Consider the following 27129-nt stretch of genomic DNA (forward strand, 5'->3'; position numbering starts at 1 on the left):
TTAGGACATCCAAATATATCCAAACAAACCAAGGGATTTGGAGCTTAGCATTTTACAGGAACAGTATTAAAACAAAACTACATCTGCAGCAGCAGGAGTGAAATGAATATAAGATTAGGTTCTTCCAATCTGTCAAAATAAATTTATCTGGAATTGTGAGCAATATAAACGCTGTAAGTTCCAGTCTCTGACTCTATTTCTAATACATGTTAGGATTCTACCCACTGATTCGGGCATGTATAAGAAGTAGTTTATGACGCCACATGCCTCTTACTTTCAATGTATTTGGGACTCCTTTGTCAGTTCTATAAGGTGGTGACTTCTTTACATTAATTTTCATGAAGAATACTTAGAACAGTGTTTTCATAATCTGAAAGGCAATACAGCGGAGTGGTTACTGGTTGAGAGTATGGGCTCTGCGGCCAGAGTAACTTTGTTTGAACCCAGGCTTCATAATGTAAAAGCTCTCTAACTTTGGGCAAGTTACTTCTGTGTGCCTCAGTTTCCTTATCTGTCAAACAAGGAGGTGACTAGTGCTGCCTTGTAAGCTTGTTTCAAAGATTAAATAATTTATTCTATATATAGCATGTAGAAAAGTGACTGACATGGTAAGGGCTTCATTCTCTAGCAAGGACCTCAAGAATAAGAGAAAGGGGCAAGAAGGAGACAAGAGCCAAGAAACCACCACAGTCACTGTTACCATGCAGCGGAATGGAGGAGAACTAGCTAATATTTGTCTCACCAGTTCATGTCTCAACAGTTGTGAAACAGAGATCAGTGCTTCTCAAAATTGAATGTGCTTATGTCACCTAGCGAACTTGTTAAAATGTGGATTTTTATCCATTAGGTCCAAGGTGCAGCTGGAGGTTCTGCATGTCTTCTTTTTCTTTTTCTTTTTCTTTTTTTTGAGACAGAGTCTCACTCTGTCACCCAGGCTGGAGTGCAGTGTCGTGATCGCGGCTCACTGCAAGCTCCGCCTCCCGGGTTCACGCCATTCTCCTGCCTCAGCCTCCCGAGTAGCTAGGACTACAGGCGCCCCCCACCACGCCCAGCTAATCTTTTTGTATTTTTAGTAGAGACGGGATTTCACCATGTTAGCCAGGATGGTCTCGATCTCCTGACCTCGTGATCTGCCCTCCTCAGCCTCCCAAAGTGCTAGAATTATAGACGTGAGCCACCGCGCCCAGCTGAGGTTCTGCATTTCTAATAGGCTCTCAGGTGATGCTGATGCCACTGGTCTGAAGATCACCCTTTGAAGAGCAAGAGTTTAGAGAACACCTGTTCCTAAATGCCATATGGTCTCTTTCTTAAGGTTGAGCTCTCCAAGGATCTACTTACGAAACCCTTTTGTTATTTTTGGTCATGGGTCATGAGTCAAGAAAACATTTGAAAATAGATGTTGCTTCAAGGAAAATGGCATAGGTATTTGATATTGCATTAATGAAATATTTTGAATTCTTAAGCATTTGGTCATTTTCCCCACTCAGGATCCAAGATTGATTTTTCCCTTTCAGATCATTAATTACAAAATAAAAGATTGAGGTTTTTTTTAAGGTAGGCAGAATATCTCCATTTGCTTTCCAAATAGGGATGGAATCAGCAAAAGCAAACATCTTCTTGTCATATGATGACTGTCCCCTTCCCAAACAACCAGTCCTTTAATTCTAACCTCATGCACATTTCAAGAGAAATGTAAAGCAGATGGTTGTGTTCCACTGATACATAAATCACAGAAATTTCTCATAAATTCTTTTGATTGTTAAAAAGCTTCAAACTGCCAGGCAGTGTTTTGCTTAAACCAAAGATGGGCCTGAGCAAACAGCTAAGTGGAACAGCATTCAGGCTTGAAAAGCTTAAGTTTAGTCAGATGATTTCCTTGCTATCTCCTATAGACACTTTTTCATAGAAATTCAAGATATGCGAAGACTTGAACACTGTGTGTGTGTGTGTGTGTGTGTGTGTTTTAAAATGTCTACAAGCGAAATCAACAAGTATCATTCCTGTTCTCGAACAGCAGAGAGACCTCCATATCCCACCAAGTTACTTGTGACAGATTGTTACTTACTAATTCCACCAAGATCATAAAGCAATGCCTTACAGTAAGAGTTGGCAAACTTTTTCTGTAAATGGCCAGATAGTAAATATTATAGATTTTGTTGCTCATTCAGTATACTAGTTTGCTAAGGCAGCTGTAATAAAGTACCACAAACTGGGTGGTTAAAAGAATAAAAATGGGTTGTCTTACAGTTCTGGAGGCCAGACATCTGAGATCAAGGTATTGGCAGGGTTGATTCTTTCTGAGGGCTGCCAGAATCTGTTCCATGCTGCTCTTCTAGCTTGTGGTGGTTTGCTGGCAATCTTTGACATTCCTCAGCTGCATCACTTCAATCTCTGTCTTTCTCTTCACCTGACATTATCCCCGGGTGCATATCTGTGTCCAAATTCACCCTTTTTAGAAGGATACCAGTCATGTTGAATTAGGGGCCCACACTACTCCAGTATGACCTCATCCTAACTTAACTAATTACATCTGCAAAGACCCTATTTCCAAATAAAGTCACATTCAAAGGTAATGGGGGCTAGGACTTCAACATATGGATTTGGGTGGGGTTTGGGAAGGACACAATTCAACCCATAACAGTATCTGTCAATAACATATGCTATTTGTCTCAGCTATTCAACTCTGCCCTTGAAGTGCAAAAGCATCCATGGAAAAATACATAAACAAATGGGCATGGCTGTGTTACAATAAAGCTATACTTATATATTTTTTAATAGATGGCAAGCCTGTAGGCAGTAGTTTGTGAACACTTGCCTTAGAGTATCTCTGATTCTTTGTGAGTATGAAAAAGAAAAAAAAAACACATGAGGAGATTTGGCACTTGGCATAGAAGAAGAGAAAAAACTTTGCAAGTTTTCAAAATGCCTATTTTATATTTGGAATTTTAGTCAAAATGCTTTACATTTAGCTTTAATATCTTATCTCTACATTCAAATATACTCTGGATTTATGTACACAGTTTCAATTAAGCAAACTGATATAAATTTTATAATGGTGACTCTAGTAAACATGATACACTTTGTCTTCAGACTGCTACTAAGTTCTAGAATGACAGCAAAACAGGCTTTTCCATTTAACATTATACCTGTATGCTTTGATTTTTTGTATGAATATGTCTGAAACATCAACAATTGCTTATGAACTTGGAATTTCTTTAGAAATGTATCCATGTTTATCCTCTGTGAATACATGTGTATATTCCTTTCCCTTTAATTAATATTTCTAGAGTACCTACAGGCAGTGTATTAGGCTGTAAACAATGAATCCTGCACAAGACACATTGTTTCCAAAGACTTATACCCTCTGGAAGATATATACACAAAGAAAACAGACAGCATATGACATATGTTCAAGCATCATCCAAAGATTTACATACACAACTGCCATGTAGAGGACATTGCTTTGTTCTGCTTGGGTCCGTATAAATGCATATATGTAAATCTCACATCTCCATTTATAATGCATCTTCACTTGGAACCTTCATGGAACCAAATTAGAGAGTTCTGTATAGGGTCATAGATGTAAGAGCACTTTAAAAGGCTTTCATGGAAAACTTGAAGATTGACTATGCCGTAAAGAAAAGACTCAATCAGGCACATACTGTATGTTTTGCAATAGTAACAAAGGTCATGCTACCATTATATTAAAACTTAGATCCAGCTTATTTTATATTAAAATGTTAGGCCTCTGGAACTCTTCCTCCACATGGTTATAAAGATAGCTAGAGTCAGGGGCCAGCATCTGCTTGAAATTTTAAAGTAACATATGTGCAAGTAGTGACTGGTGTTACTGAACCCACTCACAGGTATCAGTATTGGATATGGGGGGCTCATTCAGCTTCAGCAAAGGTGCCCCATAAAATCACTTATCTGGAGTGCCCCATTTAGAAGCTGAAAGAAAATACCCGCTAGATTATACAAATTATAAAATAGGTCAAACTAGGAGAGCAAATGAGTAGATCATGTGCTTTTAATTAGGTTTTTACCTTAAAGGTTTTCAGTTCAGACAGAGATATTCAGAGCAAGTACCAACTATGCTGACATACATGAAATGCTGTATGACCAGAAATGTCAGATGTATATGGCTTTAATAATTTTAACCATTTTAGGTCCAAAGAATACTTCTAAAATCATAATTCATAGAGTATTCTCTTTGGGATTATAAAAACACTATCACATTTCCTGACTAAAGACCCATGACTTCCAACAACACAAGCCAACATCTGCCTTTACACATACAGTTGATTCCAAAACCACATGTGGGTTGACTTTATATTGCTCAAATTAAGATTTGAACATTGGTAATGAAACTAGAATTTATCTTACAAATAAAACAATAAAGCATCCCTACATTATTTTTAACCTAGAAACTCTGTGAATCTCTTGGATTCTCTGGTCTGTAGTTTAGAAGCCATCGTCCTGTCCTAAGAATCTTCCACACATTTGTTTGGAGATGGGGCAATTTCTCTCATTTCTTTCTGCGTTTACTTAAATAAAGGAAAGGGGCTTCCATCTTCTCATAGAACTAAAAAAGAAAATGAAACTAAATGGCTTTTTTTCTTCTCAACACTTTGTAAACTTTGACTAGGAAATGAAGCACTACAGTGTGTCAATGAAGAATAATGATAATATTAATAATGATGGTGATGATGATGATAATGATGAATTAGGCAGTATAATTCTCTTCTTATTCTAAGTCTGAAAACTGAAGCAAAATGATGAAGTGCCTTTCCCAAGATCAGCGGCTCCACAATGAGAACTTGGGTTTGTCCTCCCTCACACATCTTCTTCAGAGGAGAACAAATATCACTAATGTTCATCCGCACCAGGAGAAAACCATACTGGCCCATTCAATGGCCAATTAGAATAAATTGTATATTAAGAAAAATACGATAGGTAGTACAAAAATCAAAAGCTCTCCAAAGAAAAGGAACAAAAAACCTGAATAAATAAGCTTAACGGTCCATTGTTTGTGGGGAAAATGATGAAATTATCATCAAAATATCCTATGAATTGAGAATGAAGATACATTTTTATGTAGAAAGATTTTTACAAAAAATAAAAATAAAAAATTCTACCCAGAAAAGTAAGACTCTTCTAGGACAGGTATTAGTTTTTGTTAAAGGGGTATCAGTCTCTTTCTGATAATAGAAACAAATATACTGTATATGAATCTTAGTAAACTAGTCAATTATGATTCTTCATCCTAACCCATATTTAAGAGAATGTTTGTGACTGTGCTGAAGATTTGTACATTAAAACTGTCTATACAGGAGAGTGTTCTAATTATCACAGAATTGGCCTCACAGAATCTGAATCATTCAGGTGAAAACATTCTTTTTATTTAAGAGCAATTTAGAGACACAGGTTAACAATAGATACTATAACACAGCTTTTTGCCTACAAAAAACAAACAAACTCGTCTAAATATCAATCTGCAGATGCCAAGCCTGTGTTTAAACAATGTGTTAATTTGCTTCCCCTGACAAAACTCTGGGTGAGGTATTGTTTCCACATTCAGGGACGTTAGCCCAGTAATGCAGAAAAAAAAAATCTTCATTTGGACATTGCATCTTTCAGACATTCCCTTCTTTTATTGATTTGTTTTCTCCTGTCCCTTTTCTCCTTCTTTTGTTTCCTTATCATAGCTTCAGGTTATTACGTGCAAAGTATTGATGGGAATGGATGGTTTTGGTCGATGGAGAGCTAATGCATCCCTAATCCCACTATTGTTGTAGAGTTATGCTTTCCTCTGGTCTCTGATGGGGGAAAAGGTGCAAAGCTGTTGATCCTAGTTTTATTTGTCACAAACCCATCCATCAATCAAGCGCAAGCATGTCTGAATGCTGAATGGCATGGGGGTCTCAGCTGAAAAAATTCGATAACTGTATTGTCAGGTCTCTCACTCTTTTTTTGATAAGAAATACATTTGACTGAAATAGATAAGCATGCAACTACTAAAGACTTGAAGAGAGAGAATGACATATTGGCACCAAAGGTTATATATCTTTGGTATTAATGATACTTATGAGTAAATAAAACAGGAGGGGGCAGCTATAGCTAGAGACATACAACATCCCTAAGGCTTGGTGATGTTTAAGTATTGTCGCTCTACTATTATGTGGATTTTTGAATATTAATCTGACCATATTTCACAGTTGACAACTCTGGTTAAAATGCAAGTCAATCTGCAGCTGGTGAAGGTGGTGTGGTTCAGGGAATCGAATATCACTTGTTTACATGGATCTGGACATTACAGACAGATCCTTTGTTGTTATGTACAGTAGGTAATCCCATGGCATATTTTTGTGTATGCATGAACTCATACGTTCACAACTGTCTCATCTTGCAAGTGAAAGCATTTGGGGGGGAAATAAGCTTTAATTATTTTAAACTGGGAATATATATGCATGTAATTTCAATAGTGAATTAACTTATAGTATCAAAAATAGTTTCTGGTGTCCCTTTTATTCTAGTTACTAAATTAGGTATTTTAATATAACATAATTAAAATTAATATTTTAATTATGAAAGCTTGTCTTTTCAGTTATATAAATTTTTCTACTCATAATTATTTCAAGATAATTTCATTTAGAAATAGTAAAAACATTAAAAACAACACTAGTATAATACAATTTTAGGGGCAAAATTAATCAACAAATCAGAACATTTTTAAAAACTAGTTTATTTTCTTGTCATAACATGTTAGAGAAGACAAGTATTTTTTAAATGACCTAAAAAAAAGCCCATCAAGAAAAACAACAAAAAGACAGCCTTGAATTAGAGGGCATGAAGATGAATGTTTTGTAGCCTTAAGTATCCCATGTTATGAAAGTAAGCCATTTTTTTCTCTGTTCAGTGACTGGGGGCTAGACAACTGAAAAAAAAAATCAATGTGGGAATGCTTTAGATTTGTTGGGTAAATTACATGTGCTTGGCTGCTCCATTGTATCTGCCCTATATTCTACACAAGATAACTGTAGATGGAACTGTCACATAATGCATATACTTCACATTGATTTTTATACTTTTAACAGAATTTCAATTGAACTCCATAATAAAGCAAGAAGAGAAATGATATCTCCCTCACATTCCTAATACTTGAATTATTTTTGAAATTAATTAAGTAAAAGCTCCCAGTTTTGAAGGCATGGTGAGAGGCAAAAAAAAAAAAAAAAAAAAAAAAAAAAAATCAAATTTGGTTTCTAATTCTCCTCACCGTCTGTTTTTCTGTTTTTGTTTCAGTTATTTACATTTCATCTTAACTTCCCCACCTCTTTAAAAATACGTTAATTCTTAAAGACTTTCCAGGAGGGCCCATGAACCAGCAAATGAGAGACAGCTGAACCTTCGGGAGTTGCGGGAGTTGCAAACATTGATCTTTCTGTTGACATCCTTTTGGGTTTCTAGCTTGCTCTAGTTTTGCCTCACTTTCCAGTGATTTTTAGCATTACTGTGAAGTCTGATCCTGTTTAAAGTCTCTGATGCCACCATAAGGGTTTGAGCAAGAGTTCAAGGAGTCCTTGGTGATCCCAAGGACAACCTTTCTCAGCCTGACCTTACCTATAGAGACCCCAAACAATCCTAGTGGGGAAAGAAGTAAGTCAGCCCCTACTCAGAAAAATACTAGAAAATTGCTCCATCAACTGTGCATACCCAGGTGTTCGGCTCTAGACAGAAATGTAATGCAGCTTCTACATACCCTGAGAACAAGGTTTTACTGAATTTGGGGTGGCAGTTCCAGATTGGGTGCCCAGGGGGAATGTGGACTTTGTAATTTCACCCAGGATGATGAGAAACTACAGCAACATCAAGAATTCAAGAAACTTGAGATTTGGCAACATTGGGACTCCCCTCATCCAGAAATGCCTTGGGAAGAAGGATAAAATGTGAGATGAAAGAGATTCATGTTCTTATGGCATTCTGAAACTATTATTGAAATATTTTAGAAAATGTAAAATATTATAAAGAAAATAAAATTGGCTGAGCACGGTGACTCACACCTGTAATCTCAGCACTTTGGGAGGCCGAGGTGGGTGGATCACAAGGTCAGGAGTTCGAAACCAGCCTGGCCAATATGGTGAAACCCCGTCTCAACTAAAAATACAAAAAATTAGCCAGGCATGGTGGTGGGCACCTGTAGTCCCAGTTCCTCAGGAGGCTGAGGCAGGAGAATCACTTGAACCTGAGAGGCGGAGGTTGCAGTGAGTTGAGATTGCACCACTGCACTCCAGCCTGGGTGACAGAGCGAGACTACATCTCAAAAAATTTAAAAAAAAAAAAGAAAAGAAAATCAGGTCGGGCACGGTGGCTTATGCCCATAATCCCAGCACTTTGGGAGGCCAAGGTGGGTGGATCACCTGAGGTCAAGAGTTCGAGACCAGCCTGGCCAACATGATAAAACCCTGTCTCTACTAAAAATACAAAATTAGCCAGGCATGGTGGTGCATGGCTGTAATCCCAGCTACTTGGGAGGCTGAAGCAAGAGACTCGCTTGAACCCAGGAGGTGGAGGTTGCAGTGAGCTGAGATCGCACCATTGCACTCCGGCCTGGGCAACAAGAGTGAAACTCCATCTCAAAAAAAAAAAGAAAAGAAAATAATTCATAGTGCCATCACCCACAAGTGGCATTTGTTGCTCTTTTATAGTATATGATATGTGATACAATGTAATATTGAGAGACAAATAATTGATTTCATGTTTCATAGGAATATTTTAATTATGGCCAATTCCACATTAATAATTCTATTCCAAATATTCTCTGATTAAAGAAAAATCATTTGATAAGACTCCATATGATAAACAGATTAATTTTTCCAAGTAAATATATAGATGTAAAACAAAAACTCTAATCCCATATTTAAACTTTATAGACTAATTGTAATGTTTATTTGGAAGAATAAATGTGTGATCAAAGCCCAAAAAAGTGTTTAAAAAAAAGAAAAATGAGAAAGGACTGGTACCAGGTGGGAACTATATTGTAAAGCTTCAGTAATTAAACAGTTTGTGTTCTAGGAATTTGTGTCCCCAGTTCTGATAATGTTCACTCTTAAATTGTAATATTCTATACCCTAAAGCACTCTCCAAACCTTAAGATGAAGAAAATAGGCAAAGCAATAGCAGCAATGACAAGAGACCTTTTTTTTTCTACTGGTATACCTCGGATTTTCCCCCGGCAGAGAACCAAGGGGAAATGACAGCCTCCACAGGATCACATAAAGAACTGAGAAATTTTTTCTTTTTTTTTTTTTTTTTGAGACAGGGTCTCATTCTGTCACCCAGGCTAAAGTGCAGTGGTACAATCACAGCTCACTATAGCTGCAACCTCCTGGGCTCAAACAATCCTCCCACTTCAGCCTCCCAAGTAGCTGGGACTACAGGCATGTGCCACTATGCCTGTCTACTTTTTTATTTTTTGTAGAGACAGGGTCTTACTATGTTGCCCAAGCAGGTCTCAAACTCCTGGGCTCAAACGATCTTCCTGCCTCAGCCTCCCGAAGTACTGTGATTACAGGTATGAATCACTGTGTCTGGCCAAGAAACCTTGATACCCATCTTTTGTCCCATCTTACAGAACTCATAGAATTCATTTCAAAACACATATAGAGAAATTTTGTTATGTTCTCCCCAGTTTTTGTCTCTATTGCATTGGTCATAGTTCTGGTAGCTGTGCCTTAAAATAGTTAACAATGTTCCTCCAAGGAATTAAAACTAACACCTTTGTAATTCTTTTTTTTTTTTTTTTTGAGATGGAGTTTCGCTCTTGTTGCCCAGGCTGGAGTGTAATGGCACAACCTCTGCTCACTGCAACCTCTGCCTCCTGGGTTCAAGCAATTCTCCTGCCTCAGCCTCCTGAGTAGCTGGGATTACAGACATGCGCCACTATGCCCGGCTAATTTTGTGTTTTTAGTAGAGATAGGGTTTCTCCATGTTGGTCAGGCTGGTCTCGAACTCCCGACCTCAGGTGATCCACCCACCTTGGCCTCCCAAAGTGCTGGGATTACAGGCGTGAGCCACTGCACCTGGCTATAATTCTTTTAAAACTCAAACACCTTTGCAGAAAAGAGAGGAAGACAACTCTACACAAAAAGCTCACTCAAGCATTTTAGGAACTGGTTATAGAAAAATAATTGTCTTATATGTTTATATATAAAGGAGTGGGAATTATTACATAGCTTTTAGGCCTGACCCTGGTTCATGAATTTTCCAAATTCTACCAAAACAGCAAAACAGACAAATCAGTAGAATAGAATAGAGTCTGGAAAAAGACTCTGGGAATTTGGTATTGGTAAAAGAGAGATCTTAAATAAGCAAGGTTGCTTTAATATACTACCAGTATGAATGTAAAATTGGTAAGCCAATTTAGAAGCCAATTTTGCAGTGCCTACTAAAAGACATGCATTGACCCAACAATGCATTGATCCAATAATTCCACTTCTCTATATCTCCCAGAGAAACACTGGCACATGTTCATAATAAGACAGTACAGTGATGTAGCAGTAGTTGAAATCGTAAAAAATTGGAAACTCCAAATGACTACCAACAGGGGACTGGCTAAATAAACTATGCCAGAACCATACTATGAATATGATGCATAAGTAGAAAAAGATAAGACAGGGCTCTCTGCACTGGCCCAAAAAAATTTCCAAACCATGTCACTGAGTGGGAAAAAAAAGCAAACTTCAGAATATCACTACACAAGGTATCATATGCTGAGGTAAATACACCTCATATACACATGTATAACAACTACATCAATACCATTAAAAAAACATAAACTCTCACTAATCTTTGTCTACCCCAAATCATACATGAAAATATATTTTTATGAATTAGGAACTTAATGACATTTTTAAAACTATAAAAATTACTAAAAATAAATATACAAAAATATGTATTTAACCTTAGCATGACACGAAGGCCAGAAACACTAAAGAAAATTTCTGGCAGCATTAACTTTATGACAGAATAACAACAATAACAAACTTCTGTATATCAAATAATGCCACAGCAAAAATTTTAAACAAAATTGTTGGAGGGAGTTTAAGTGGCTACAGTATCTCTTCAAAAAAAATTTCTCAGTATGTATATTTAAAATGCACATACCTTGTACCCTAGCAATTTGACTTACAGGGGTTTATGCCAAAAAAAATTGTACATGTTGCCAGTTGTGTGTGTAAAAGGATGTTTAGCACAGTATTTTGTGTTTATAGTTGCATATAAAAGGGGGAGGATTAAATGCCCACCAAGAAGAAAATGGCTAAATAGATTATGGTACTTCCATATGCTAGAATACAATACAGCCATTAAGATAGATAATAGTATATAGTCAACCCTTTGCATCCAGTTCCACATCTGTGAGTTCATCCAACTGCAGATCAAAAATATTAAGGAAACACACTGAAAATAACAATACTGCAGTTAAAAATATAAATCTTGGCTGGACGCCGAGGTTCATGCCTATAATCCCAGCACTTTGGGAGGCTGAGGCGGATGGATCACTTGAAGTCAGGAGTTTGAGACCAGCCTGGCCAACATGGTGAAACCCCGTCTCTACTAAAAATATAAAAACTAGCCAGGCATGGTGGTGGACACCTGTAATCCCAGCTACTCGGGAGGCTGAGGCAGGGGAATCACTTGAACCTGGGAGGCAGAGGCTGCAGTGAGCTGAGATTGTGCCACTGCACTCCAATGCATTGATCCAATAATTCCACTTCTCTATATCTCACAGCGAGATATAGAGAATTACAAAGGTGTTAGAGTTTGAATTCTTTGGAGGAACATTGTTAACTATTTTAAGGCACAGCTACCAGAACTATGACTAATGCAATAGAGACAAAAACTGGGGAGAACACAGCGAGACTCCATCTCAAAAAACAAAAACAAAAACAAAAACAAACAAACAAACAAACAATATATATATATCAAAATATAGTATAACAATGACATTGTGTTAGGTAGTATAAGTAATCTAAAGATGATTTAATATATATGGGAGGATGTGCATAAGTTATATGCAAATACTTCCCCATTTTATAGAACTGCTTAACATCCTGAAGAATGGAGGCTTTCCTGGACCCAATCTCCAGCAGATTCCAAGAGACAACTGTATTAACTTTTATTAAGTTCCATGAGCAAAGGTCCATTTCTGAGTTAAATACATTATCTCATTCAATCCTTTCAGTAATGCTTTGAGGTAGGCATCATCAGAATTCTCATTTTAAAGATGATAGGGCTGAGACTCAGAGAGGATAAGTGCCTCCAAAACATACAACTGTCTCAATCCAAAACAGAAATTCTTGGAAGATTTGTATGTACTAACATAGAAAGATGTTATTGAAACACTGATATGAAGAAAAAAGAAATTATAAAAGAAGAAAAAGGAAGTTATAGTATGTATACTGTAATGACATTTATGTAAAACAATGTAAAAGTGCAATGGGAAGAAATAAACATGTTAATGTGGTTGTCTGTAGATGGATGAGGGAGTGATGGGGATTCCCTATCTTCTTTTTACTTAACTATATTTTCTAAATTTTTTTCAGCGAGGTACACACGTTGCACTTTTAAAAATAAAGTAGATAATTCTAGGATAAAACCAGTAATGTTGAAATGTAGAGCAATGAATATTATTATTATTGTAGCAAAGATAGGTATTTAAGATTCAGTGTTTTGAGACTTCTAATGATTTTGCCTGGAGAACACATTCCTATCTGTAGAGGTTAGAACATGAAAAGGCAGCTGGCCTTTTTTAATGATAAAAAATTAGTATATCAATTAAGATATAAAAATTATTTCTTTCTATGTTCTAATTACCTAGAAGTTCAGGTACTATTTTAAGTACTTTGGTGTTTCTGTTTATTTATTTGTTTGGAGATAGGGTCTCACTCTGTCACCCAGGCTGGATTGCAGTGGCAGTAATATGGCAGCCTCAACCTCCCTGGCTCAGGTGAACCTCCTACCTCCACCTCCCGAATAGCTGGGACTACAGGCATGCACCACCATGCCCAGGTGCTTTTTTACCTGGAGTTTCACCATGTTGCCCAGGCTGGCCTCAAACTCCTGGACTCCAGTGATCTGCCCACCTTGGCCTCACAAAGTGCTGGGATTACAGGTGTGAGCCACCACACCCAGCCTGTTTTTAAGTACTGTAAAATAACAATTTATGAGCAGACTAACATGAATTGTGGGTTTCTTAACAAAAAGGATGAACGAAGCAAGTTACCCTAAACCTATTGTCTCTATTTTTCAAATGCCATCCTTTGAGATCAGACACACTTTGTTTCCAGGCAATATGCTGAGTGGGAAATGCCTAGTCCAGTGGGCTGAGCCTGTCAGATCAATACAATGGAATCTGAACTTGTCACTTGCAGGGGTGTGCTACCTGAGGCAAAATAACTGTCAAGCACCAACCTCTAACTCAACTATAATCATATCAAACACTCTTGCCTTTTCTTTGCTCTTTCTTATTCTTTTCTTTCTTTCCTTTTTTTTTTTAATCTTAGTGAAATCAGGTTAAAATGGGTATCAAGAAAACTTGGAGGCTGTAGCAAGAAAAGGTAGTCCTATACTTTCTATGGCAGAAATATTAAATGGGACCGAAAGTATTGAATACCTTTTTTCGCTCTTGTTGCCCAGGCTGGAGTACAACAGCGCGATCTCTGCTCACCGCAACTTCCACCTCCTGTGTTCAAGCAATTCTCCTGCCTCAGCCTCAGTAGCTGGAATTACAGGCATGCGCCACCATGCCAGGCTAATTTTGTATTTTGTAGTAGAGATGGGGTTTCTGCATGTTGGTCAGGCTGGTCTCAAACTCCTGACCTCAGGTGATCCGCCCACCTAAGCCTCCCAAATTGCTGGGATTACAGGCATGAGCCATGGCGCCCAGCTGAATACCTTCTTATTCCTATAGTTAGAATAAAAGCTAGCACTGCAACCTGGGTTGCCTGATTCCTGCTGGCACAGAGTTCTTTGACGGGACAAAACTAAGTAACATTCAGTCTGAGGGGGCTTGTGTCCGTAATAACACAGATGTTTTGCCTTTGTGGATAATGGCAGTGGAGGTGAGGGTGGGGTGAAGAGATGGGGATATGCACTAACTGTAGACACGTAAGCTTTAACAACAGCAATCGGAGTCACTTTCTTTTCCCTTAACTGCATTTTCCTGAGAATGACAAGCCAATGGTTCCAGTGTTACAGACTCTGAAATGCCATACTCTAAGGAAAGTTTCTATTCATGGAAAGCCAAGGACTGGGAAAGAAAGAGTCCTTGATGTTTTTTTTTTTATTTTCATTTGCACTTTGACTAAAAAGATAGTGAATTGAGGATAAACAGGCACATACACATATGATTTGAGGAAAACAGTCCTCTTGCCTCAGAAATATGTCCTCTAGTGACTTTCTGGCATACTTGATATGCCCACAGTGAAGAATCATTTGTTGGAGATGAAGAATTATCTACGTATTCAACATTGAAAAAATATTAAGAATGCATTTACCAAACCTGTTCTTCATGCCCCCCACCTCAAAAAAAGTGATGACTGAATAGTAGAGTCTCTATCCCAAAGAAACTTAAAATCTAGATAGGAGTCAGACAAGAAATAAGACAATTTAAATAAAGAGTGATGTGGGCCAGATGCAGTGGCTCATATCTATAATCCCAGCATTTTGAGAGGCCGAGGCAGGAGGATTGCTTGAGCCCAGGAGTTCGAGACCAGCCTGGGCAACACAGTAAGACCCCCAACTCTACGAAAAATTTTTAAAATGAGCTAGGCATGGTGGCACACACCTGTAGTCCCAGATACTCAGGAGGCTGAGGCAGGAGGATTGCTTGATCCCAAGAAGTCGAGGCTGCAGTGAGCTGCGATCACATCACTCCAGCCTCGGTGACAGAGTAGGACCTCGTCTCAAAAGCGAAAGAAAGAAAGGAAAGGAAAGGAAGAGGGGGAGGGGAATAAAGGGAAAAAGAAGAAAGAGAGAAGAAGGGAGGGAAGGATAGAGGGAGGAAAGGAGGAAGGAAGGAAGGAAGGGAGGGGAGAGGGAAGGAGGAAGGAAGGGAGGGAGGGAAGTGTTAGCACAAGGTGAGGATATTTATCACTCAGGAGAAAGGAAGATGAGACATACCAATCGATGAGCATAGATATGGTGGAACCCAGAACTGGAAGAAGTGGCAAGAGGCTAGAAAGTAAATAGCAGAGAGTAAGGGCTAACACAAAGGGCTCTTTTTATCCTGAGGAGAAGGAGGAGAGCCTTTGAAGGGTTTAAGCTGGTGAGGAAGGGTGGAGTGAGTAGGGATGAGAAGACATGTGATATATGAATATATTATATTTATGCTTGTATAATAATGGAGAGAAAAATGCATCAAGCCATTAACAGTCACAAACATACTTGAAGAATTTGTTTTAAAAAAACAATTGGCAGAGGGAAGCATTCAGAAATTCATCTCAAAATTACATTCTTGCTCCAAAACTGTGGAAAACCCAGAGATACAAACTCCTGACAGAATATGTATCTATTTGAGAAGTCAAAACTCCTGTACACACACAAAAAATAAAGTGTACCTATTAACCTATGGGGTGGGGATTTCTATGTAGCAGTGGCTTAGGAAAGGGCACGTTCCAGAAAAAATTAAAGCAGCCTCCAAAGGCCTCATGGAGGAGAGGAAAGAAGACTTCCTGAGGAGAGATAGTGAGGACAAGGGTTTTCTTGGGAGGGTGGGGCGGGGTAGATGGAATTTGTGTTCAAAACCAAAGGCTTGTGACATTTGTTGTTTGTTTGTTTTTGTTTGTTTGAGGCAGGGTCTCACTTGTTGCCCAGGCTGGAGTACAGTGGTGCAATCACAGCTCATTGCAGCCTTAACCTCCCAGGCTCAAATGATCCTCCCACCTCAGCCTCCAGAGTAGCTGGGACTATAGATACAAACGCCACCACACCTGGCTTTTTTTTTTTTTTTTTTTTTTTTTTTGTAGAGACAGGGTCTCACTATGTTGCCCAGGCTGGTCTCAAACTCCTGGGCTCAAGCAATCCTCCTGTCTCAGGCTTCCAAAGTGCTGGAATTTCAGGCATGAGCCACCACTGCCAGCCTTGACATTCATTCTTGAAACCTTAACTGAGCCCTGAACCAGATGGTTTTGATGTATGCAGTAAAAATAGGTGGAAACGACTTGTCTCCAAAGACCTTCAGTTTAGTTATCTGGTAGGAAAAGAGAAGATACTGGTTTGAATGGAATAGAAGCTTTGTTGAAGGGCAGTTCAGAGTAAGGGAATCTCCTCAGGGTAGGGGGTGGGGGCTGGGACTGGGAGGAAAGGGACCTGCATGACCAGGGGTGCAACTTGAGGGTTCTGAGAGAGTAGAGACCAATCAGAACTCTGAAGCAAACTTGATCACTTCACAGTATTTGTCCTACTGATCTGGCCAAAGATACACACATACATGTGCATACGCACATGTACACACACACACACATTTAATGCCTACAGACTGCAGTGTACCCTAGAAGTATACATAGATTGTCCTTAGATGGAAAAACAGCCTATAGAATGCTTCGTTACAATGTGTTTGTATTTTAGCTAGAGTTGCCTTCCAAAGACCTTATTGCTAAGAAACAATCAAAGTGAGAGCCCTCCTTTGTTAGGAACAAAGAAGTTTGAAAAAAGATTCCTTTGGTTCATGTGTCATTTAGTTGAAGGATGTTTGTTATGGAAAATGCAGTTATGAAAGTCATAACAGGCATCCTAAACCTTGACTTAAAGGGTTTGCTTTCTACATAAGAAATCGTTATCTATTTGTTATATTACATTTGTTTAAATAATTATCTATTTGTTATATTGAATTTGTAATGTATAGAAAAATATAAATGAAAAATTATTCATAGTTGACCACAGCTAACATTTAAATGTAATTTCTTTCAATTCTATGTATTTTAGCCAGTTATGTCATTGAAGCTGAGCTTTTTATTTAGTAATAGATACTTTCAGTTTCCCCTCTGATCACAAAGGCCAGAGGACTCTGTTCACCGACGCAGGTTTCTGGCCTGCTAACCTAAAGTCCTGTGTTAATGTTCCGGGTAACACAGATTTTAGGTTTTGAGCTGAAAGGCACCTAAGGGATTAAGGTAATTGCCCTAGAACAGTGGCTCTCAAAGTGTAGGCCTCAGACATGCAGCTGTGACTTTACCTGTGAGGTGGTTGGAAATGCAAAACCAAGGGATCTTCCCAACTTGCTGCATATGAAGCTCTGGGGATGGTGCCCAGAAAAGAGTGGGGTCTTGGATGGGGGTGGGGTGTTTTGTTTTGTTTTGTTTTTTGAGACAGAGTTTACCTCTTGTTGCCCAGGCTGGAGTGCAATGGCGTGATCTTGGCTCACTGCAACCTCCGCCTTCCAGGTTCAAGCGATTCTCATGCCTCAGCCTCCCGAGCAGCTGAGATTATAGGCACCTGCCACCACGCCCGGCTAATTTTTGTATTTTTAGTAGAGATGGGGTTTCACCATGTTGCCCAGGCTGGTCTCGAACTCCTGACCTCAGGTAATCCACCCACCTCAGCCTCCCAAAGTGCTGGGATTACAGGCATGAGCCACTGCACCTGGCCAGAAAAGAGTGTTTTAACAAGCTCTCCAGGTAATTCTTGTGCATGTTCAAGTTTGAGGACAAATCCCAGAGAACACACAACAAGCTAGTAATCATCACAAATCCACAGCAAACCCTAGGAATAACGTGTTCCATGGTGCCTCCTCTCACTCACACAGTACTTGCAAAGAGTAGGTACTTAAAGCTTGTTGGCCGGGTGTGGTGGCTCACACCTGTAATCCCAGCACTTTGGGAGGCTGAGGAGAGCAAATCCCTTGAGTCCAGGAGGTCGAGACCAGCCTGGGCAACATGGTGAAACCTCTCTCTACAAAAATATAAAAAGTTAGCAGGGCGTGGTGGCCCATACCTGTAGTTGCAGCTACTCTGGAGAATGAGATGGAGGATTGCTTGAACTCTGGAGCTCTGGAGGCTGCAGTGAGCCATGATCATGCCACTGCACTCCAGCCTGGGCGACAGAGACTCTGTCTCAAAAAAATATATATATAAAATAAAATAAAATAAAGCATGTTGACTAAAAGAATGCTCTCCTAAATTTCCCCAAATCTGTAAACCATTTCCCATGCCCTTCTGAACAGATGCCACCTAAATTTGCCCTTGAAGCAAACTTTCCTTTTATTTTCCCCAGACTTTCCTTTGACCTCCTCTAAAGAAAAAAATAAGTACCACAGAATTTTCTTCTTATCTTTCCTGGTTGCAGGCCCTTGCTACTCAAAGTGTAGGCAGCAGACCAGCAGCAGGGCATCGCCTGGCAGCTTGTTAGAAATGTAGAATCTCAGACTTACTGAATCAGAGCCTGAATTTTAGCAAGACCCCTAGGTGATGCATTCACACAGCAACATTTGAGAAGCAAAGTTCTAGAAAGCCAGCTGCTGCTCATGTTCCTGCTCAAGTGAGTTTCATAATAAGTAAATTTCATTTTTTTTTTTATTTGACGGAGTTTCGCTCTTGTTGCCCAGGCTGGAGTGCAATGACACGATCTTAGCTCACCACAACCCCCACCTCCCGGGTTCAAGTGAGTCTCCTGTCTCAGCCTCCTGAGTAGCTGGAATTACAGGCATGCACCACCATGCCTGGCTAATTTTGTATTTTTAGTAGAGACAGGGTTTCTCCATGTTGGTCAGGCTGGTCTCAAACTCCCAACCTCAGGTGATACACCTGCCTTGGCCTCCCAAAGTGCTGGGATTACAAGCGTGAGCCACCGCGTCTGGCCTCATAACAAGTAATTTTTAATATTACACTATGTGGCACTAATTTATTCAACAAGTATTTCCCAAGTACCTACTATGTGCAAGGATTGGTGGTATGGAAACAACATTGAACAAGACATGGTCTCAGACTCCTTGAGGAATGTATAGTTTACAGAAGAGATAGACTGTGGCCACCAATAGCCGGGATACCAAGCAGGGTTTGGTAAGAGGCTTCTGAGTGGCCTAAGGTATTGCTATTCAGAGAGGACAGAGAATACTTCCTACAGGAGTGATGACAATGATTGCTTCTACATGTAGAAGAGGATTTTAAAAGTCATGAAATTAGCAAATTATATTATAGTATAAACATACGAAGTTCAGAGTATCAGAAATGACTTTAGAAGGTCCCTCATCTAAAGACATAGCAGAATATAGTGAAAAGAGCTTCAGCTTTGAAAACAGAAAGACCTGAGTTCAAGTCCAACTGGTTAATCTTGGGAATGTTACTTAGACTCTCTGAAACTAACTTCCTCATCTATAAAAAACACAATACCTAAGTTTCAGAGTTGTTCACAGGATTAGTGAGAGTGTGTGTATAGTGTCTGGCACACAGTAGGCACTCAACAAGTGGTATGACTGTTCTGTTCTTGTTCCTGAGGTTCTGTGTGACCTATACCCTGTCTCCCTTTATCTCAGGCATGTGGCAGGAGCTGCTTGAAAGTGTCCACACTTGGGAGTGGCTGGATCTGGCCTAGAAAGGTTCTAGCCACTAGTTCCTAGTCATTGCTCTGAATTGTAGCACTTTCTTCATACTTCAGTCTTGAGTGGACATGAAACCTGAAAATTATGTGTTTCTATGAAAATCACTTATTGATCTGCACAAGACCGAGAGGATATTACTAAGTTGATTTATGTTTATGCAATAATGTAGATCAAATTATTTTGAAATGTTTTGAGTCTAGACTGAATAAGTGAGTTTTCCTTTGAATAATTGGTATTGTGTAGATAAGGCCTTTATTCCTCTCATTCAATCTAGACCAATTTGAACCTCAGTTCGTCTTGTGTCTGGTAACGTCAGGAGCCATCAGGATCCAGAATAAAGAATGAATCTTATCTCTCCTCTCCTCTCCTCTCCTCCGCCCTTCTTCCTCCTTCAACTCCTTTTTTTCCTTCTCCTTTTTCTTTCCCTCCCTCTCAAGGCTATTGAATTTTTTATTTGCTTCTCTTAGGAACTGAGCCTTGATTCAGCTCTGTACTGCCAAGTAAATGACTAGATCAGCTTGAAATCTTATGTAAATGATAAGATGTCAAAATAGTAGTCCAAAATAGTAGTTGTCTAATGCCTCTCATAGTCTTTAAGAGGTCATTATAATCTGTAAGAGAAAGCTGAAAATATTTTTTCAATGTTAATGACTCAGAAAACAGTAGATATTGTACCCTCCTATTTCTCTGAAGGAAAAAAAGAAAGCGTCTCATAGCCCAATAGATTCTATAAAACAGAAGGCAAGAAAAAATATCTTAGAAATTACTCTTGAATACTAAGGGCTTAAAGCTCAAAGTGCCTGATTATCCAATGGACAGACCCATACAAGATGGAGCCCCACAAAATCAGTATTGCCATAAAGCTAGAGTGATCATATACTTTATCACTTCTAACTCATTTAACAATTAAAGGGTGCTATTAATAACTATTAATTATAGTCATACATACTTATAATAATTATTAATGTAGAATAGTCCTGGGAAACAGGGATGTATAGCTATCCTTCCTAAAGGCATGCAAGAATAGGAATATGATTTGGAGCAGAGGTGATGGTAAAGAGATAAGAAAAATATTATTTTTCTTCATTTAAAAGACAATGTTTGATGTGATAAGTGTATTTGTAAAATCTGTCCACTAGGCTATATAGCTTGATAGCTATGAATGCTCAAAAACATACCTCACCTTATTTATTAAGCAAGTTCAGCTCTATGAAACATAACCTAGAATTAAATCTCTGAGTGGCAAAGCACACCCATTAACATTTACGTGCCTCAAAGAACACGAAAAGAAGCCCCTTAGCCCTTCCCTCAAAGCTTACTGAATCCTCCTTGAAACACAGCTTGTTAACACATTTGGTTAACGAATTCCAACCCACAGTCCTAGAAATAAGAAGTCATATATAAGAAAATATAATGAGCCTGGCACACGCAAAAGCAGCAGAGGGACACTTGATAGCCTCATTACGAGAAGCCAGACAGAAGAACTCCAAAGCACATTCTCTGTGGCCTGTAAACCTATAGTCCCTGAAAATCCCACTGTTCTACAACACAGCACACTAACTGATTTCCATCATTACAATCTTGAGTCATCAATAAGAAAGTTATAATTTAAATGAGAAGTCATGGAGTTAGAAAGACTGGATTGTAGTTCTAACACTGCCATTCACTAGCTTTGACCTTGAGTAAATTATTCAACCCCTCGTTTAGAGGGATTTAACCCTTATTAGCATTAGCATCATCTGCAAAATGGGAAGAATACTTACCTAAGGATGATGATAATGATGAAATGTGTTCATGCTTTTAAAGGCCTAGCACTGTGTTTGGTGTATGGGAGCTGCTCAATCAATGGAAGTTGTCATTCATCATAATAGGAAGTCCTGTGTGTTCTACATAACAAGAATGTTACCCTGCATGGCAAGAAACATTACAAGATTATCACTATTAGGGTTTTTACCAATGAGGTGCTAACCGGGTCAGTTTATGACAGCAGATGTTATGGCTTGTTTGGAATGGTAGGCATGAAAATCAAATAGCCATGCATGATTACATAAGCAAGAAGAAGAATTTGAGCAGTAGATTATCACAGACCAACAGAACAGAAAGTGTCATGTTCTATTGGGGTCAGGATAGAAAGTGATATCCCAGGGGCTCAATTTAGGGAGGAATAGAGTACTCCCAGATACCCAGGTCCTCTTCCAAAGTTGGGGCCTAGGATCCTGTGGCAGACCATTTGACCAACATGAATAAAATTTGGAAAAAAATAAAAAGGTTTTTTTTTCCCCCATAAAAGATTAGCCTTCAGAAGTTCCCAAAGTAAAAATTGTTTATAAGTGGATTGCATTGCCTTGAGAAATTAGTGAGTTTTTCATCAACAGAAAGGTGTGTTCAAACATAACTTTAAAATCTCTTGAAATGACCATTATTAAATGGATTTAAGCATTGTTTGGAAAGCTAAATTAAATTACTTTATCATCGTCCTTTCCAAAACTAAAACAATATTTCACTTATGTGGAATAATTTATAGATTCATTAAAAATGCTAAGTAAATGAAGTGCTATTGTAAATCATTTATTGTTCTGAATATAAATGAATATGTTAATTGAAGAAATTCATAAGGTATCAAATACATATATAAGAGAAAATAAACAATCATGAGCCTGCTCATCTGTCATAAACATTTTCTTTCCATCATTTTTCCACAAGTTTTTCCAAAGTTTAGACTGTATTATACAGGCAATTTTTATCTTACAGTTTTTTGCTTTGTTATAATCATTTTTGTGTCATCAAAAAATGTTTTGGGGGGGCCAGCCACAGTGACTCACACATATATTCCCAGCACTTTGGGAGGCCAACATGGGAGGACTGTTTGAGCCCAGGTGTTCAAGATGAGCCTGGGCAACACAGGGAGACCCTGTCTCTACAAAATTTTTTTTTGATTATCCACGTCTCTGTGATGTGATTATTATGCACTGCATGCCTGTATCAAAAGTCTCATCTACCCCATATACACACCTACTATGTACCCACAAAAATTAAAAATTAAAATTAAATAAACATTTTTTAAAAGGAAGAAAATTAGCCAGGCATGGTGGCGTGTGCCTCTAGTCTCAGCTACCTGGGAGGCTGAGGTAGGAAGATTGCTTGAGCCCAGGAGGTCAAGGTTACAGTGAGCTGTGTTCCAGCCACAGTACTCTAGCATGGGTGACAAAGCGAGACCTTGTCTCAAAAAAAAAAAAAAAGTTTTTTGGGCATTATTTTAAGGGTTACAAATATTATGTTATCTCAACACATCAAATTTGGGCTCCAAATCTACATGCCTCAGTGGAAATCCTGCTCTGCACTTACCAGCTACGTGATTTGCGCAATTTACTAACACCTCTGTGCCTATTTCATCATCTGTACAATGTGAATAATAGCACTACCTATCTCATAGCTTTATTATGGAGATGTAATGAGTTAATACATGTAAAATACTTAGTATCTGACACATAGTAAATATTCAATAAATCTTTATTATTGTTCTATTCATTTCCCTAACATGAGGCACTTAGATTACTTTTCATTTTTAACCATTACAAATAATTCTGATAAATATCTTTGTAATAAATGGGTTATGAAAGATATTCTTCACAATCCAAACTCTTCAGCCATTTTTTTTTGTTTCAGCTGTTTGTTTTTAAGCATGAAATAATGGATGAACAGATACTATTTGTTTGAAACCAGTAGCTTTGTCAATATGTTTTTAAAGAAAGAATAATAATCTATTTTTATTGTTTTCTGTCTTCCTTTTTTACAAAATCATGGTACAATACACATAAATTTTACCATAAGTGACATTTAGTATGTTCCCAATGTTGTACAATTTGCCAATATGTTTTCAGGCCACTGATCTCAAAGATGGTCAAATAAAATGCATAGGAAGGAAGCAAGAAGAAGCAAACCTTATTAGCCTCAAAATGTCTTTTATGAACAAGGAAACAATATTTCCTTGTTTTCAAATTTCATTAAGAAACTATTGGGTCCAACCACCAAGTTATAGCCACTTTAAATATTTTCTGGAAGATACATGCATCCGTAAAACTTTACTTCCATAATCTGTTCGGTCAGAAAGATGACAGAAGAAAAAGGGTTAACACTTAAGGAGTCTTTAAGGAGTTCGGATATTGTGGAAGGTGGTTAACATAAATGACCCTATTTAGTCCTTATAAAGATGATGAGCTATAGCAATTGTCCTTCAGATTACAGATGAGGAAACTGAAGTTTGGAGAATGTGACATAATTTATCTAGATGCACACAGCTAAGAAGTAACAGAGACAGGACTCAACTCAGACCTACCTGATTCCTCAGGTCCATACTCTTTCCATATACCACTGCCTTGTTGAAATAAGCATGTAGAGCCCAGAGTGGTGGCTCATGCTTGTAATTCCAGCACTTTGGTAGGCTGGGACAGGAGGATCACTTGAGCCCAGGAGTTTGAGACCAGCCTAGGCAACAAAATGAGACCCCATCTCTACAAAAAATAAAAAAATTAGCCAGGTGTGGTGGCATGTGCCTGTAGTCGCAGCTACTTGGGAAACTGAGGTGGGAGGATCACCTGAACCTGGGAGATCGAGTCTGCAGTGAGCTGTGATCATGCCAGTGCACTCCAGCCTGGGTGACCCTGTCAAAGAAAAGAAAAGACAAAGACAAGACAAGATGAGACGAGACGGGACGGGACGGGATGGGACGGGATGAAGGGAGGAAGGGAGGAAGGGAGGGAGATGAAATAAGCATGTAATATTATCCTAAAAGAAAGAGATTCTCTGAAAGTTACAACAGAAACTTCAATAACCATCTAGATAGAAAATCTCAAGTCCGCTAACTAGGCAATCCAGGTTTTGCAGCTTTCCTTAGTAGTTGAGATAGTCCTTCTAATATTGCATCCTCTATTTCTGTCCCTTTATTGCCTAGATGTGTCAACATCCCTGAAGGGGTTATCCTGAATGTGTTAGGCACTAGCGCTCAGTTCCATGTCAAAACACACAAAGGCTTGTTGACCCAACAAGAAATTGGTTGTAGTGCTGCTTTACATAAACCAAAATCACAGATCTCAAAAACTTTCACTCTTCTTCTATCAGTTATTTTTTTTCACATTTGACAACAAACACACACAGATAATCAAGAAAAGAGGGAAAAAATGTTTTTCACTGGAAGAATCACCAGAATTTACTGATAGAAATTAGCAGTGGGAAATGGAGTCTTGTGTTCATAGTCTCATCTTGTCTAAAGCCTTGTTTTTTATTTGCTCATGTCCTTGAGTTTTCTATAAGGCTCAATTTTTCATTTGCAACACATGAATAATTAAAACTTGTAGCTTTGGGACATGTAAAATCATATTCATCAAATGCTTTCATATAAAAATTGTTTTTAGACAGACATGCAAACATATATGGAACACCTAGTACTGCACTAAGCATAATAAAAACAAAATGCTAATACTAAGTAGAAACCAGTATGAACGTGGCTCCCTCATCCAACCAGCCCTGAATGGATTAGTCTGTTGTGGTTGCTGAATTCAACTTCTCTGACACTAATACAGCTGGATTGCAGGAATGTCCTGTAATTCACTTGTATTAGAAGCCATTAAAATTTTGAATATGTTGCCTATTAAGTAGGTTGTATATTCCTACCCCTCTACTTCTCTGTTACTTTTTTATAAAGAGGCCATTTCTGCTTCAGTTGTTCTTACTTTACTTTCTTTGCACCTCTCCCTCCCATTTCACCCATACCACTACCATCTGAGGCAGTGTGTGGTATTCCTGAAACATTACTGACCTTCTTCAAAGTAAAAGAAAAAGAGCTAGCAAATACTGTAAACCTTAGAAGAGGGGGAAAAAAAAACTTCCTTCCTAAATGGCTACAATTGACAACCCTGCCATTTAGTCTAAAGAGCAGTGACCAATTTTAAGTCAATCTTCAACTTTTAAGTGGGGCCAGAATTCCCCAGTCCTGTATCTAGCTCAGTGCTTTGGTGGGATAAGAGCATATGCCCGTAGAGCACAATACTCTTTTTTCAGAGTGACATTCATCTACTCAGACAAATTTAACTCCATCAGCAGAATCAAGTTCACGAAACAGTGGCTGTGCAAATTCACAATGAAATCTTTATTAAAATCTAGAATCTTCCAGAGCATTTTACAGGAAAACTGTAAAAAGTTAACTTCCTTTTTTCCTTTCTCTCTCTTTCCCCTAGCCCCCACAATGATATCAGTACCTTATGTAACTTGGATGTTCCACAGCTTATAACAGAAAAAATATGTCAGTTTAGTCTTTAAACAGATAAGGAGGAAGTGTACGCAAGAAAAAGGAAAGTTTTGGAGAGGCATTTTATAATTTCTCAAGTAATAAATACTAGTAACTATTGTAACCAAAAAACAATGCATTGACTATGGTTATCACATAAAAATCCTCTAAGGATTGCTTTTAAGGACATTATGACAAGCTGGTGATTTCCAGATATTTGTGCTAGTAGGACACTCAATACTCCATAAATCATTCCACCAAGATGGTTGCTTATTATGGTCTGTAAGATTGCATTTTCCAGGGCATGACTATAGAATATCTAAAAATCAGCTTATAGAATACTTTGAGTCAAACAAATTGCTCAGAAAAAAAGTAATTAAATCTATCCTTTAGGCAATTTGGAGGGTATTTATCAAAATTATAAATGCATATACCTTTATTACAGCAATTCTACATCTAGGAATTTATTCTAATGAAGTACACATGTACAGAATGACTTATATACAAAATTACTCATACATACAAAATATGACATTATTGCTTGTAATAATAACTATTGAAAATGATTTTAATTTCCATTATTAAGAAATAGTTTAAGTACATTATGATAGAACCATGCAGTTGAATCTGAAGCCATAAAAAAGAATGAAGATGTTCCATATGTATTAATTCATTTAGAAAGCTGTGTAAGATACAGTGTTAAATTTAAAAAGCACAAATTATCTCTGGAAAACTACACAAGAAGGTACTAACATAGTCTGTAAGTAGGGGAACTAAGTGTCTAGGGCTGGAGTCAAAAATGAGAGAGAAAACTTTTTATATGTTTTGAATTTTGAGTGATAGGAAAGAGTCTGGTCAGTTAGATCAAAACAAATGATGTAGAAAATGCCTTAAAAAGTAAAACATGGCCGGGCATGGTGGCTCATGCCTGTAATCCCAGCACTTTGGAAGGCTGAGGTGGGTGGATCACGAGGTCAGGAGATCGAGACCATCCTGGTCAACATGGCAAAACCCTGTCACTACTAAAAATACAAAAATTAGCTGGGTGTGGTGGCATATGCCTGTAATCCCAGCTACTCAGGAGGCTGAGGCAGGAGAATCGCTTGAATCCAGGAGGCAGAGGTTGCAGTGAGCCGAGATAGTGCCACTGCACTCCAGCCTGGCGACAGAACGAGACTCCATCTCAAAAAAAGAGTAAAACATTACAATCCACGTATCCTTCAAACTGGCTTGTAACAGAAAAACTGCT

At 38.4% G+C, this 27129-nt stretch overlaps 1 long non-coding RNA gene across 6 annotated transcripts in view; it reads left to right on the top strand.

Moving 5' to 3' along the window:
* The window catches only part of SOX2-OT (SOX2 overlapping transcript), a 685549-nt gene that overhangs the window by 579226 nt on the left and 79194 nt on the right, over positions 1-27129 (top strand). The window lies entirely within an intron of this gene.

This window comes from Homo sapiens, chromosome 3, assembly GCF_000001405.40.
Source record: "Homo sapiens chromosome 3, GRCh38.p14 Primary Assembly".
Taxonomy (NCBI): Eukaryota; Metazoa; Chordata; class Mammalia; order Primates; family Hominidae; genus Homo; species Homo sapiens.